Consider the following 16,709-nt stretch of genomic DNA (forward strand, 5'->3'; position numbering starts at 1 on the left):
GCAGGGATGAGAGGAATTCTTGGCAGCCTTTTCTGCCAACATTCTATGCACTGATAAGGTTTTAATATCCAAAATATGTAAAGGATTCCCATGAATCATCAAGAAAAAGACAAAAATAGAAAAATGCAAAAACACAGACATCCATAGAAGAGAAACATGAATGGCCTGTAAACATATGGAAAGATGTTTACTCTCATCATTCAAGAAAAATAGATTAAATCTACCAAAGAGTGAAAATTTAAAAGTCAGACAAGACCAGTGATGGTGGGAACTGTTATATAGAGCTAATGAGATGTAAAATTACACATTACTTGAGAAAACAATTTCGCATCGCCTAGTAAAGATAAGTGTATATACACAGCAGTTCCACCCTTGGGAAAATTCTTGTGCGTATGTCCTGAAGACAAGTAAAATAATATTCTTAGGAGGATTTGGGAGGTTGGGGGGAAATACTAAAAACAAACTAAATGCCAATCAACGATTGAATGGAGAAATAAGCAGTAGTGGATTCATATCATGCAATACTCTAATCCACAGCTAGATGTGCCTCAATGTGGATGAAGCTTGAAAACATGATGTTGAAATGCAAAAGTGTCACAGAAGGCAATTTCAGTGTAATTCTATTTATACACAAAGCTCACAAACAGGAAAACTAAGCAATATATTGTTTAGAGGGCCAAACTTATAAATCCGTGCGTGCGCGTGTGCGCACACATGCACACACATGCACACACTCACATATGTATGGGGGAAATGCTTAGCCCAAATTTCAGGATAGAGGATAACTGGAGTGGGGAGAGGGAGGAAGCAAACATGGACTTCAAAGATACTGGTAATATTCTCTCTCACTCTCTCTCCTTTGAGCTCAATCATAGTTATACAGGTGTTTGTTCAAATATTATTCAAATATTTTTAGTTCTGATAGTATTGGCTATATACACATTTTGCATGTAGAATGCATTTTTTTAAAAAAAAAAACTCTTGCCCAGGCTGGAGTATAGTGGCACGATCTTGGCTCACTGCAGCCTCTGCCTCCTGGGTTCAAGTGATTCTCCTGCCTCAGCCTTCCAAGTAGCTGAGATTACTGGCATGCACCACCACATCAGCTAATTTTTGCATTTCTAGTAGAGGTGGAGTTTTTAGTAGAGATGTTGGCCAGGCTGGTCTCGAACTCCTGATCTCAAGTGATCCACCCACCTCGGCCTCCCAAAGTGCTGGGATTACAGGTGTGAGCCACTGTGTCTGGCCTAGAATGTATTTTTAAAGTGGCAAAGGATCTTTCAATAAATTGCTGAGAACAAAACACCTTGATGACATGAACAAAAAAATGATACTTTCATGTATGACTGTGGGAAGGACTTCAAATTGGCATGTGACTCAATCCTTTCTTGTTCCCATACACTGAAATACTTGGAGACGAAATGTCTGGGAATTGCTTCCAAATAATCTGACGGGGGTAGATAATGATGCAACCGTATTGACCGTGAGTTGGTCACTGCTGAAGCTGGGTTCATTTGTACTCTTCTCCCTACTGTTGTGTACGTGTGAGGAGGAGGGGTAAGAGGGGACAAGGGTAGAGAACGCTCACCAGAAGATAACTGGAACAAGTGAGGATATTTATAGGTTATCTGAATGCTAAGCATTCCCTGCTATAAAGCATAAAACAGAGTAGATTAAAAAAGAAAGGGGAACAAAATGAAGGGGAACTCGCCAGCTTTTTACATGCAGGGAAGAGTCTAGTTGGCCAGAACACATAAAATGTGCAAGCATGAGAACGCGAAAGACCCAGCCAGGCTGGCAGGGGAGGTGGGGGAGGAGGTGGGATCTGGAAGGCCAGCCATGGATGGCTCTAGAGCTGTGCACGAGTCCATCCCACTGCTGCTGCTGCTGCTGCTGAGAAGCTTCAGGGCTGTGCTGTGGCCCTGAGCCCTTGGGCTGGCCAGAGGAAGCCCACAAACAGGACACTGTGGCCATCCTGTAGTGCCACATTGGCTATCAGCCACCCAACTTGCGTGGTCTATGACAGAGGAAGCCCCATCACCAGACTCTCCCCTTCTAAGACCAACTCCAAGACTGAGACTCTGACTGCCCTCTGAAGACTCTGACTCTGGACTTCCATGGCTTGCAGCTGCCAACCCAGTGCCCACCATACCTGAGTACCCAGCAGCCCTTCACAGGGCTCAGGCCACCCCCAACTTCCACCCCCTAAGTTCACAGGCTCACCTCCTATGCTTAGCCAAGTAGACCCCTGCAGTTCTGAACGTGCTCCCATTCTGGCTTCTACTCCTTTGTATGTGTTCTTCCCTCTGCCTAAAAGCCTTCTGCTCCTCCCTACTCCTTGTTCTCTTGGCAAGTTCATAGTCATTTTGCCAGAATGGGCTCAAGTGTCCTCCTCCTCCAGGGAGGCTTCTCCCTGACTCCGCAAGCCAAGCAGAGCTGTTCGTCCCCTGCTACACAGCATCGTCCTGGGGCCTGTAAGTACCTGCAACACGGCCGGCTCTTTCCACCCTGCTGAACTGTTTCTCTGCTAAACACTGGAGCCTCTTCTAGAGGAACCCGAAGATGAGTTTTCAGCTCTGTTAGGAGGTACTCACTGGAGCCAGAAAATGAAGGAAATTGTTCTCTTCCAATCACAATTGTGGAGGAACTCTTTTTTTCTCTCTCTCCTATCTCTGTGACCAGCATTATACATAGAAAAATGGTCTCAAAAAGCACATGTTTGCTATTTCGACGACTGTAGAAAGTATCAGAGGAAGGCGATTATGTTTGCAAGGGGATGTTGTAGTTTAATCCTGGTTTTGTTCTTTTCAATTTTCCATAATTATGTGTTGCTCTGATTTAGATGAAATTAGCCTAGACAAGTTTTGCTGAAATAAAGGACTGCAGTTGATGCCTTCCTCCCCTGTATATGGGTCCCTCTTCATATTAAATGACCGCTTTCACCAACCTCCACCAGAGGCAAAGTCACACCAACCCCTGAGTGAGCCAGGGTGGAGCGAAAAGGAGAGGAGAGAGAAGGTACTGAGTTTTAGAAAGCTGTAATACCAGTCCCCTTCTTACAGGGAAAGAGAGATCTGGCTCATTAAACATTAAGTTGGGCACGGTGGCTCATGCCTGTAATCCCATCACTTTGGGAGGCTGAGGCAGGCAGATTACTTGAGGTCAGGAGTTCAAGACCAGACTGGCCAACATGGTGAAACCCCGTCTCTATGAAAAATACAAAAAATTAGCCAGGCGTGGTGGCGCACACCTGTAATCCTAGCTACTCAAGAGGCTGAGGCAAGAGAACCGCTTGAACCTGGGAGGCAGGGGTTGCAGTGAGCCGAGATTGTGCCACTGCATTCCAGCCTGTGTAAGACAGCGAGACTGTGTCTCAAAAAATAAAATTAAATATTAATCATTTATAAAACTACATCAAGAAACCTATGCTAAAAAGGAAGATGTGGTTGGACTGGTTCATTTTTCTCCTCCAGTTTAGAGCTCCCATGCTTATTAATCCAAGAAGAAGAACAAAGCTAGCTGTAGCCAAACTTGGCGATTTAAATATCTGTCATATCCATGGCATCTGTTTTTATTTAGTAATATTGTATATTTTTATCCAGCACTGTTCTATTTCACATATGATATAGTACATGTGCAATGTTTTGGATCATATCTACGGTACAGAACAGAGGGCAATTACCCTAATTTATGGGTGATCCCAATTGTCACTTCCCCCAAACAGCAATGGAGTTTTTCAATATCCTCAGAATAAATCCCTCCTCTGGAGCAGTAAACATAATATGACAGTGTGTCAACCATGGATTTGTTTCAAGATTATTTACTTAGAATTCAACAACACTGCTGGCCCATGGAGTGCCCCGTCAGCAAAGGCTGCATTGTTTGAAGTAGCTTGGGGAAACAGCCAGGGTTTCAGAATCCAAAGAATGTAGTTTTCCTAAATACCTCAGGATTATGAGATGCTATAGAACTAATAAATTTGCTCCTTAAAATAGTCCAGAAGGAATCCTTAACCATGGCTACATGTTTGAAAGTTTAGGTTATTAATGGGGAGAGAGAATGCTGTTTCGTCCCTTGGGCTCATATAATGAGTACCACGGGTAACTTTTTTCTCCCTTTCTTCTCTTTATGATTATTTTTAAAAGGATAAATTCCAGAGGTGGAGAACATTTTGGAAAACAAGGAAATAGTAACGAAATGATGAAATGTTGAGAGATGATGTGCAAGAGACCCATGCAATGAAAGCCTTTTAAGTTGGAAAATGCTTACCTGGTGCTGATTGTTGTTTCTCGGGATGGCGAGTTGGGCAGTTTCATCCACCTATGGATAAACTGGATGGTGCTCTGTAGGTGTAACCAGTAATATAGTAACTGGAATCGAATGTTCTACAACTGGTTTCTTGTTTTCATACAGGCGGTAACTAGATCTAACCTATATTTATTAGGTTGGTGCAAAAATAATTAAAAGTAACGGCAAAAAAAAAAAAAACCGCAATTACGTTTGCACCAACCTAAAACATCATATTTTAAAAGTTTTAAAGCACTTTCCCATCTGCAATCTAATTTTTCTCACAGTCACTCAGAGAAAGAAGTTATGATTATCACCAATTACAAATGAGGAAGTTCAAGCCCCGAAGACTTAGCAACTTGCCTAAGTTCACCTGGAAAATGGGTGGAAGTGTGTGGATGAAAACTCTGGTCTCTTAGTTCAGTGGTCATAACCTCTAGCCTATCCATGATGTATTTAGTTGTGCAAATTCAAATTTTATGAAGCATGCACAGAGACTTCATCCATAGTAATGAACTTTTTAACTGAGAGCAAGTGTTTCCAGAATAAAAAATCCGCTGCTCAGCCCCCATTGCAGCTTCATGTGTCCAGTGGAATGTGAGCAGAAAGGATGAAGACAACTTTTGGTACATAAAAGTCTTGTGCATTCCCCTGTCTTGGCCAAGGTCCCCCTGAGAGTAGAATCTAAAGCTAAAACTCAACTGCAGGTTTATTTTGGAAACGATCTCAGGGAGCAAGGGTGAGGGATAGAGAGGGTGGCAAGAAAGAGGCCAGGTCAATGCAAGAAAGAGGTACTAAGTTGGCCACTCTTATGGGTGACTGGTGCTCAATCCCACAGGACCTTCTGATGGGAAGACACAAGGGGGAAATATCCACTGATACTAGACTGTCATTGATCAAGGTGTTAAATCTACACTGCTATGATGCCTGAGATGCCCCAGAACAGAAATTGAGAGGCTTGGGGCATGGGCCAAGGTGAGGTACTAACAGGTTGCAATTGTGCAAACTGGCAAAGTCTGCACAGATCTGATCATCACACGAGTAGTTAGGTGGGGCTGACAGGATTTGAAGCCATCTTTAAGAAGTTTCCCTTCCTGCTGGGTAAGATGCCTGTGGTAGTAAGCCGGCTTAGACCACGTAGACAAGGGCAAACCATCTGGGAGGCCTGGGGCAATAATACTGAAGAATCTTGGCATCCTGGAAATATCTGAGCAGCCATGTGAACTTGAGCTGTACAAGAGAGAAATAAATCTATTTCATTTAAGCAACCCTTATTGTGTAAACTAATAAAAAGTACATCTGATAATCATGAGCTGCAAACATCAAACTGGAGAGACTTGTTTAGACCAGTGAATAAAAATTTTAGGTGTTACTAAGCAGCAAAGCCATGGTCCACATGATGAGCACATTGAAAATTTCACCTCTATTTGGCTCAGTCTGTGATTGGCACTGAATTATTGAATTCACTGGATGGTGTTGCCATCCAAACACAACCCCTCCAAATACTTTGTGAAATACACACATTCTTAGGCCAGGCACGGTTTCTCATGCCTGTAATCCCAGCACTTTGGGAGACCAAGGTGGGAGGATCACTTGAGGTCAGGAGTTCGAGACCAGCCTGGTCAACATGGTGAAACCCCGTCTCTACTAAAAATACAAAAATTAGCCAGGCGTAGTGGTGGGCACCTGTAATCCCAGCTACTCAGGAGGCTGAAGCAGGAGAATTGCTTGAACCTGGGAGGTGGAGGTTGCAGTGAGCTGAGATCGTGCCATTGCACTCCAGCTTGGGCAACAAGAGTGAAACTCCGTCCGCAAAAAACAAAGGAATAAATAAATAAAATAAAATATACACGTTCTTGCCTTGGCACACTGTATTTTAAGCTGAAGCAACGTAATGATGATAATTTTTTTACAAATATGATTATTTTATGTCATTGTATCATACCAGTTATTAAGGAGAATTGATATAGCTTTAGAACACTAAATATACCCCTCACTGAATAATTAAACTTTTAGCTAGTAAGTGACTAAATTTGACAGAGCCTTGAATAGGGTATATAAAGGGACTGTGTTAACTGCTTTCCTTCAACGTGCATGTACTGACTTGAAGAAAAATCTGTGCCACATTATGAAGGAGGAAGTAGGTACAGGGAGTGGGGGATAACTTGACCAAAGTGGCCCAACTCAAAACTGGCAGACATGCAGAGCTAGCATTTGAACCCAGGCATGTTTGACTCAAAAGTCCCTGCTTTACTCATTATGCTAAATCTGACTGAAGAAAGTTTTAGCTTTGATACTCTCTGGGACGCTAGAACACCTAAAATAAATAGTTTGCTTGCCTGGTGCTTAAAGGGAGGGCCTTAAAGGAAGAGGACGACGTCAAGATCAGAAGACTTGGCCATGCATGGTGGCTCACCCTGTAATCCCAGCACTTTGGAAGGCTGAGGCAGGAGGATCACTGAGCCCAAGACTTGAGACCAGCTTGGACAACATAGTGAGACCCCCATCTCTACAAAAAATAAAAAAGTCAGCTGAGTGTGGTAGCTCATACCTATAGTCCCAGCTACTTGGGAGGCTTAGGTGGGAGGATCACTTGAGCCCAGGAGATCGAGGCTGCAGTGAGCCATGATTGTGCCACTGCACTCCAGCCTGGGCAACAGAGGAAGATTCTGTCTCAAAAATAAATAAAAAGATCAGAAGACCAGTGTTGTTCTCTGTGTGAATAGGAAACAGCTGAGACTGTCTGACCTCAGGTGCTTCCTTGATAAAACGGGAATAACACAACCTACCTCACAGGCTTTTGGAGATGTTAAATGAGTGTATGTGTATATAGAAGTGCTTTATAAACCATAAAGTACTACATTTACTTACTGTGGGCCATGCACAGTATTAAAGCACTTTACATGGATAATCTCCTTTAATCACCACTACAACCCTACGAGCTAATTATTCTTCTGTTTGTTGTATAGGAATTTGAAGTTCAGCTTGCCCGTGGCCAAGTAACTAGCAGAAGGAGGAGGCTGGTGTTCAAAGGCAGCCACAAAGGGCTTATGGGCCCACACTCAAGCCCCCCACCACTCGTCTGCCCTGTACACGTGATCATATGGCCACCACCTACGTATTTACATACCACCTACATAATGTGGACAACCCGTCTCAGATTCAAATGGACTCTGTAGCTGCAACATTCCTGCCTTCTCCTCACTGGAGTATTAACAGGCTCTGGTAGAAGTGGAATGATGAGAATCAGAGGACAGACATCTCTCTGGGAGCTGCTTTTCCCTAAGACCAGGGATACAATTTCTGAACACATTCTTAATTTTATCCCATGTATCTAGACATTAATCCTAGTCTGATAAATTCCTGGAGTGCCCTCACGCTACATTTAAACTTCTTTATTTTTGTGTATTATAATTCACCCTTAATGAATCAGGAATTCTAAGGTAACTCTTTATCTTAAATAGTACCTGAGCATAAAATATATAGCTTATGTTTTAGTCTCTAAAATTTGACTGTGTTGGGAAATTAAGATGTTTACAGTTCTAAGCCAGGTACGGTGGCTCAGGCCTGAAATCTCAGCACTTTGGGAGGCTGAGATGAGAGGATCACTGGAGGCCAGGAGTTTGAGACCAGCCTGGGCAACAGAGCAAAACCTCATCTCTATAAATATTTTTAAAAAATAACTAGCTGAGGCCGGGTGAGGTGGCCCATGCCTGTAATCCCAGCACTTTGGGAGGTTGAGGTGGGCAAACTGGTTGAGGTCGGGAGTTCAAGACCAGCCTGACGAACATGGTGAAATCCCATCTCTATTAAAAATACAAAAATTAGCCGGGCATGGTGGTAGGCGCCTGTAATCCCAGCTACTTGGCAGGCTGAGGCAGGAGAATCGCTTGAACCCGGGAGACGGAGGTTGCAGTGACCCATGATCACGCCATTGCACTCCAGCCTGGGTGACAAGAGCAAAACTCTGTCTCAAAATAAAAATAAAAGTAAAAATGATTAGCTGGGCATGATGGCATGTGCCTATAGTCCCAGCTACTCAGGAGGCTGAAGCGGGAGGATCGTTTGAGTCCAGATAGTCAAGGCTGCAGTGAGCCCTGACTGTGTCACCGAACTCTAGCCTGGGTGACAGAGTGAGACCCTGTCTCTAAAAGTATATAAATAAATATTTTTAAAAGATGCTCACAGTTTTAAAGCAGAAAGAGAGGCTAAGAACGTCTACCACTTTCTTCGGATTCACTACATACTCATGATTTTGGGTTCACGAAGACACTTCTGTTGTGAGATATGTATCCCCCCTTTTTAGTCCAGCTCGGTAGATGAGTTTCATGCATGAGTTTACATTTGAGAGTGAGTTTGCCTCCTCTTTCCCCCCTTGCCTTATTCTCATATGTTATCTGTAAAATATTCTTTTTCAGTGTGCCTGTATGAAATCTGTTCTTAGAGGCTGTGGGAGCTTTAAGATTAACTATGGACTCGATAGTAATGCAATGGGGTCTGAGATCACCCTGGCAGGCAAACACTTTGCGTGAGGTGTAATTGAAAACATTAGTACAACTAAATAACCCAGTTTCCATTCTAAGCTTAGTCCCCTGTGCGGCATTCAAGGCAAAGGAAGCCCTGACCAGCGCCACGTGAAACAAAGTAAAAGAACATGGATTTCAGATAAGAATGATCCAGAAACCAAAGGAATTTGGGAAGGACTTTGTAGATGCAAAGGAGCAAATGCAGAACATGAAGAAAACTAAGAGGGCCTCCGTTCGGGTGGTGAACCCACTGAGCTTCAAAAGATGTTTAAGAAGCATCTAAATGAAAAACCTCCCTGGGCGTGGTCAGTTGCCAACTCAAAAGGATGAGGGAGACATCATCCTCCTGCCTAATTGCACCCCCTTTCCTACTTAGAGCTTAGCAGGAGGGGGCTGTAATATGATTACTTGTTGAGAAAGGGATTTCTAGTTGCTGCTTCAGAGGAGACTGAAATGACCTATTGCTTTCCTTTGATGTTTTGTTTGCTGACACAACTGCTGGACTTTGAAATGCAGTAGAACTCTAATTTAGTTCAGGAACTTGTTTTTAAACATATATTTCAGTCAGAGAACTGATTTTAATCTAAAATCCACTTCTCCGAATTTTTAAAAATGCAAGTCTTTTCTTCACAAGAGGTGTAAGTTTCCTCCCCCATCTCATCACTTTCATTTGGCTTCTCCAATTCCCTCTGAGCTGGGAGCAGACTTCTGGAAACAAGACTGTTGTGGAGTGCATGGAAGAGAGTCCTAGCCCCCAGCTGTTCTGTTCCCTCACTGTGCCATGTACTGAACCTCATGGATGGCCTCTAAGACTGGACCTAGATCAGCCTTGCTGCCAATTCTAGAGGCCTGCTAGGCCCAAAGAGGTCCCAGTGGAAAGGACATAAGGACATGGCAGGCAGAGTGGGCTTCTCTCCTTCCAAGCTGGTTTGGGGAGAAAAATCAAACAGGTTAATTGCACATCTTCATTAGTTGACTTTCCCCTGTGGGCTGGTCCTGTGGTGTGACCTAACCTTTAGTAAAGATAGTTATGCTAAAGTAACTAGGCACAGATGGGCTTTAGGCTAGAAATCCATCTTCCCTCTGTCTCTGTCCTTTTCTCTGAGAAGTGTCCTTACTGCTTGAACCTCAGCAGAAGAGGTGGCCACTGCAAGGGCTGGGTGGATAATGTGCACCCTATAGGCCAAGTTCTGCTTCACCTGTGTTCTTGGAACTGCACAGTTTTCTTTTTTTCCTTTCTTTCTTTCTTTTTTTTAAAATTTGAATGTCAGTGTCTTTAAAAAGGGCACAAACTCTCCAGGTCACTGTTAATCCCTAAATCCACCCTTCACAGGCAGCCCATTTGGCTTATTCTGTGTTACCTAACACCACTGTGGGCTTCTGACCTTTCAACCTCTGGTGAGTGAAAAATTCTCAGTTAACAGCCTCAGAGCCAGCTTTAGATCCTGACGTTCCAGGGCCCTTGGAGAAGAAAAGGTGGATCAAAGAGTAACCAATAGCTCAGTCTATGAGCTATTGGTTTAAAATGAGATTTAAAAATCCAATGAAGCCACTCCTGGGCCTCCTGGTTCTGCATTTTCTGTGGATGCCTGCACCTGGTGGGCGCTCTGAAGACCACTTACAGGGTGGGACAACTGCCGAATTGCAAACCCCATGAGGTTCTGCTTGGAGTTTATGTCAACATAGATCTTGTCTTTTCTCAGCCTGTTTCCATCAAAGCAATGCTTAATTGGGGGCTGATCTGGGATCTGGGAAAGAAGGGGAGAGGGCAGTCATTCTTTCACTGGATGCATTTAATTTTACTCCACCTAACAAGTTCAAAATGCCCTGGAGTTTCATTCTTCCTTCCCTTCCTCCTCACACTTTTCCATCCTTTCCCTTCTTTGACTCCCAAACCCAAATGGGGTATAAGTGGAGCAGATAGGGGTTGGGTAGGGGTGAGAAACATTGTAGATCTTTATTTTATTCACCTCAAGCCCCACATTAAATCCCACATCCGTGTTTGCTAAAACATATAAGGTTCTGCAACCCCGGTCATGTCCTTGGAGACCATTTAAAGTCATAAAATAAGCAATGTGTACTTTTTTGGAATGGTCAGTCATTTAAAACTATCATAGAACCAGCAAATGCACTATGAAACAGAAAGCAACATTCACTTTTTAAAAAGCTGAAACACAGGATTATAAAGACATTTGATGCTTTTTGCAGGTTTCTTTCAAATAGTTCCCTGTATCTCAGGGGATAGCTTTCAACTCTCCTTTGCTATTAGGAATATTTGGGTGAAAGTTTGAGAAACCGTGTGAAATTCTGGCAAATCTTTTTAGAAAAGTCTGCTTTTGTATCTGAGAGGAGTATTTTCTTATTTCGGGTGTTCATGGAATAAGGAATCATGTAGCCCTTGGCTGGACACTTAAATGTGTTCCTGGACTTGCCAAAAAGACTTGGGTTGAGTCACTGGACTTGACTTCAAATTCCCATTCAGAGACCACTGGGACTGTAAAACCTTTTGCTGCTGAGTCCATTTCTTGTAACTGGCTCCACATATTTAAGAATAAATAATTCAGCTCTGTTAGTGATGGTTTTGGGATCCCCCTCTACAGCCCCAGCACAGTTATCCTGGTTTGTAGGAGCAGCACCCAGCATTCACATTTTCTCTGTTCTGCATTTGTTGGAAAGTAAATAAGCAGCAGTAAAGAAGCTGTATTGTGCATGTTTTCTGCCTTGGGTGGCACCTGGAATTTGCTGAATTTGCTGAGTGCAACTTTAAAAGGCTCCTGAGCCGCACCTTTTTCATGCCATGCAAGTCAAATGGAAAACCAAATAATCAGCATAAGCAAGCTGTGAGTCCTTTCTCTTGGTCTCAACGGACTCCAGACCCTGTTGTGGAATTCCAGTGCTTCTTTTCTCCCCTCTTCCAGCTGTTAAGTCTCCATGACTGGACTTAAACAACCATCTCCTCTCCCCCTCTCAGAGAATCAATCACTGATTTTGCATAATACTTAGGACATTGTGGTACAAAAAAAAAAAAAAATTGAGGGCCCCCCAAAAACCCAAAAACAAACAGAAACCCGCCCATCTCCACTGATTTTCTAGGATGTCTCGTTTATTTTATGTCAGTCTCACTAGAACTTAAAAATTACTTTTAAAGTAATAAAGCTGATTTTCACATGCCTTGTATAGACTTTCACTAATGCCAAGCAAAGGCATTTTGCCCAGATTGCTTTCCCCAGCTCATATACAGAGTTGAAAGCAGGGAATGGGGTGAAGTGGAATGGAGGAAGAACAGATGTAAATACTAAGCATATTGCAGGTTCAGTGACTCGCCCCAGAATGGGACCCTGTCTTAGATCCTACAAATTCCTGTTCAATCCTTCTAGGCAAGATGCTTAATTATTGTTATGTGTAGGGAAGAAAATTGTTAGCAGCAGAAGGTATCCGAGTCACGTGGCACCAAAATGTATCACTAGTAGCGAATATCCAAGTTACCTTAATAGAATCCGTATGGGTCTGCAGCAACCTCAATTCCTACATCCTCAGAAGAAAGAATTCAACTCAGGGTCATACGGCAGAAAAAGAGACTGAGGCAAGTTTCAGAGCGTTTATTAAAACGCTTTAGAGCAGGAACATAAGGCAAGTGATACTGGAGACAGAAATTATTTTAAGCAGATAATGAGGGCAAAAGAGTCCTCGGCAGAACTTCCCTGCTAACAAAGAACAGCCCAAGAAATCCCTTCTTTTCTAACAAAGAGCAGCCTGGGAGATCGGGCTGCAAACATAGATAAGGAAGCTGGAAACTTGCACGAGGGGATGCCAGAAGCTGCACAGTTAGAAAGAGGTACCTGGGGCCAGGAATGTCCACCCTGGGGGCTCCACCTCCCCTCTATTTTTAGCACATGCACAGTAAGAAGGAAATAAGCGGCCGGGCCCGGTGGCTCACGCCTGTAATCCCAGCACTCTGGGAGGCCGAGGCAGGCGGATCACAAGGTCAGGAGTTTGAGACCAGCCTGACCAACATGGTGAAACCCCGTCTCCACTAAAAATACAAAAATTAGCCGGGCGTGGTGACGCACACCTGTAATCCCAGCTACTTAGGAGGCTGAAGCAGGAGAATCGCTTGAACCTGGGAGGCGGAGGTTGCAGTGAGCCCAGATCTCACCACTGCACTCCAGCCTGGGTGACAGAGTGAGACTCCTACTCAAAAAAAGAAAGAAAGAGAGAGAGAGAGAGGAAGGAAGGAAGGAAGGAAGGAAGGAAGGAAGGAAGGAAGGAAGGAAGGAAGAAGTAACATGGAGTATCTAGCCACGGGCATAATAAAAGACTGGGGTGGGGGCTGCCAGAGATTCGTGCCCTATGCAGATGGCACACCCGGTCCTAACCAGTTTTTCATGCCCTTTGTAGGTCAGACACCGCCTCCCCACTAGCTCATCTATAAAACCCCCTGCATTTAACCACGGATCGGCAACTCCTTTTCTCGGGACCCTTCTCTGGGGCAGAGAGCTATTCTCCTTCTTTCACCTATTAAAATTCTGCTCGAAACCTCACCCTTTGTGTGTTTCCACATCCTTTACCTCCGTGGCCGTGAGACCGAGAACCTTGGGTGTCACCCCAGGCAACAAGGCCACTTCACAAGTACACCTGGAAGAGAGCCAATGGACGCCCTGGAGGTCAAGTGCCCCGTTTGATCTTGAACCTAGGATTTTATACGCTGGCCTACTTCCCGCATCTTGTGCCCCTTTCCCTTATTCTTCTCTTAAGGTGAACCGCCCACATGCATAGTGCCCTGCTTGGGATTGGGAGGTGAGCATGGGCAGTGTGTTTAAGAAGTTGTATGCGTGATCACCTGAGGCTTTCTTCCCCTTTTCCAGTGGAACGCCCCTAGAAGGTCATACGCTGCCATTTTGTCTCTTAATGCGCATGCTCAAGCCCACTGGCCCAATTCCTGAGATCTTATTGGAAGCTGCCGACTACCAATTTCAAGTGTATTCATCTGTTGGGAAACTGCCTCTCCCTGTTGTGGCCATGATCAATGATCATTTTAGAGAGGCAGTGTGACAACTGCCAAACCATCCCCTGATCATCACCTGACATTCCTGGCGGGTTGGGAGGGGAGCCCTTCTCTGCCCCGCTCATGCCTGACTAGCTACCTACTGTAACAAAATCTGTATCATGTCTTCCCAGTGATTCTATATTTTGGTAATATAGAATCAACTTGTGGAGAAGGCAGCATGATGTAGTGAACAAAGCTTCAGCAGGCCAGGATTTAAATCCCAGAGCCACCATTTATTGGCCATGTACCATTAAATATGTGTTACAGGCCTCTCCTGGGCCTCATTTTTTTCATCTGCAAAATAGGAAATGATGGCAAGGATCAAATAAGATGACAACTATGAGAAGCACGCCCAAAGCTAGGCACACATTAAATGTGTTTCCCTTCCCTTCTTAAGTCAGAGTTTGGACTCTGAACATAATGTAACTCCCCACCAAGAGCTGACTGTGACTATGGGCACTGTTTCTATGAAGGGAGCTCTTGGTGGCCCTTTGTTGTAACTGTTGATTGCACACATCTGGAAACCATGACAACCGTTTTGCTTTTAGTTCAGCTTGGCCCAAATGTAGCTCTATATAAGGCAGCTTCCATACTTCAGTTTTTCCCAACACATCATAGCTTGGCTTGAATTTGGGCAGAAGGGTGGGTGCCAAAGGAAATGTACAATGTCTGAGAAAAATTCTTATTCAACTAACAATTACCCAGATCTGTATGGCCCCACTAGGGCACTGTTCCTGGAGCTTTTGTGTACATTCTCCCACTGAAAATGCAGTGGGAAGCTTTATGATGATGCCTACTTTGCAGGTGTTTCGATGACTCTGGGTGGTTTAAGTGACTTTCCAAAGTCACAGAGATAATAAGGCATAGACTTGGGATAAGATCCCAGGCTTCTGACATGGAAAAAAGCAGGTCACAAGGATTTGCGGTGTTAGAAGAACAGCAGCTGTAGTGTCTGCCTGCCAGTGTGCCTTGAGTTGACACTGTCCACAACAAGTACTGGAAGGCAGGAGAGGGGAGGTCCTATGTAAGTTTCCTTGGCCTTTAGAAGAAACCCTGTGTCCAGGCTCTCTGTCAACTAAGTCACATATCGAACTGGGGCAGGTAGTGATATATGGCTAATTAAATGTGCCATGTAAACAATATCTGACCACTAATTTTAAAAAACAGTTTGTAAAACATTCCTGGCATCATTTAATCTTTTGGGGTTTTCACTTGTTGTATTCAGAAGGTATTTTAGGACCAACCTTAATTGTCATGCATTCATTCAACGAATATTTATTAACCTACCTACTGTGTTGTATCCAGCACTGTTTTGTTTTGTTGTTGTTTGTTTTTTTGGGGACAGAATCTCACTCTGTTGCCTAGGGTGGAGTGCAGGGGCACAATATCTGCTCACTGCAACCTCCGCCTCCTGGGTTCAAGCGATTCCCGTGCCTCATACTCCCAAGTAGCTGGGATTACAGTTGTGCGCAGCAACTCTCAGCTAATTTTCGTATTTTTCATAGAGACAGGGTTTCACCTTGTTGGCCAGGCTGGTCTTGAACTCCTGACCTCAGGTGATCCTCCCGCCTTGGCCTCCCAAATTACTGGGATTACAGGTGTGACCCACTGCACCCAGCCATAAAACTCTTTAACACAAACTCTTCAAAGTGACATCTTTTGTAACCTTCATAGGTTACAAAAGGTATTGATATATTAATAGATTGAGATTTGATTGCGGGGGGGCGGGGCAGGGGGAGAATGCTAAAAAAATAAGTCAGCTTTCTTTTCTGTAACTATTTAAAAGAATGCAAAGTAATTCTACAGGCAATTCCTTGGTGGGCTTATTTGGTAATTTTTTTTTTCTTTTCCATTTTCCTCTTGCTCTTTGGTTTGTAGGAGAACCGCTTTATTCCCAGGAGGCAATTTTGAGTCCCAACATGTCCTGCATCATCTCCTGTGCCCATTGCCAAAGGAAGGCGACCAGAGCGTGGGTTTCAGCACAGCTCTGATTGGATGATAAGCAAGGAGAGTAATGTGCTGCTAGGAGGTTAGAGAAAAGAAAATACTAGAATATACCAGAATGTAGTATTTCCACTTCCCTCCCTCCAAATCAAAAGCCTCATGAATGAAATTATGACCATTATTCAAGTGCAATTATACTGAGTATGTAAAATGGAAACACTGAAAGTAAATCATACATTTGGATATTACATTTCATATTTGAGAACATGCCAGAAACATTGTATTATTGTTGAGTGTAATGTCAGGAGACAAACTTCTACGCATTTTATACATAAATTTTTCCATTTTCTCTGTTTCCCATTTATGTCAAGTTGAACACATGGTATGACTTTTAATATTCTCTCTTCCTTCTCCTTCCCCACATTGAATGTCAAGTGATCACACTCAATCTTGATTATCCTAAATTTACCCTTAGGACCTGTCACCTCATTGGGTGTTGCCGCTAGAACAAGAGGGTTTTTTAAATGGTATAAAAAGGAGAGGCCCGGCTTGGTAGCTCATGCCTGTAATTCTAGCACTTTGGGAGGCTGGGGCGGGAAATCCCTTGATCCCAGGAGTTTCAGACCAGCCTGGGCAACATGGTGAGACTCTGTCTCTATAAAAAAAAAAATTTTTTTTTTTAATTTAGCTGGGTGTGGTGGCATGCCCTGTAGTCTCAGCTACTATGGAGGCTGAGGTGGGAGGATCACTTGATCCTGGAAGGTGGAGGCTGCAGTAAGCTGAGTGGCACCAGTGCACTCCTGTCAAAAGAGAGAGAGGAGAGAGAGAGAGAGAGAGAGGAAGAGTCCCTAAAGAAACCTATAAAACTGGGGTCTTATGGATGCTAGCACATATCTTGGAAAGAA

General features: G+C 43.8%; 2 annotated features.

The window, feature by feature from the left end:
• Positions 1,444-1,944: an enhancer, noted in NCBI's record as "H3K27ac hESC enhancer chr18:564852-565352 (GRCh37/hg19 assembly coordinates)". NCBI's record gives its function as "activates a minimal SCP1, AML or CMV promoter by ChIP-STARR-seq in primed H9 embryonic stem cells {active_cell/tissue: H9 hESC(primed)}" and the evidence as "EXISTENCE:reporter gene assay evidence [ECO:0000049][PMID:30033119]".
• Positions 1,945-2,445: an enhancer, noted in NCBI's record as "H3K27ac hESC enhancer chr18:565353-565853 (GRCh37/hg19 assembly coordinates)". NCBI's record gives its function as "activates a minimal SCP1, AML or CMV promoter by ChIP-STARR-seq in primed H9 embryonic stem cells {active_cell/tissue: H9 hESC(primed)}" and the evidence as "EXISTENCE:reporter gene assay evidence [ECO:0000049][PMID:30033119]".

The sequence above is a fragment of the Homo sapiens genome, chromosome 18 (assembly GCF_000001405.40).
Source record: "Homo sapiens chromosome 18, GRCh38.p14 Primary Assembly".
In the NCBI taxonomy this organism is placed as follows: domain Eukaryota; kingdom Metazoa; phylum Chordata; class Mammalia; order Primates; family Hominidae; genus Homo; species Homo sapiens.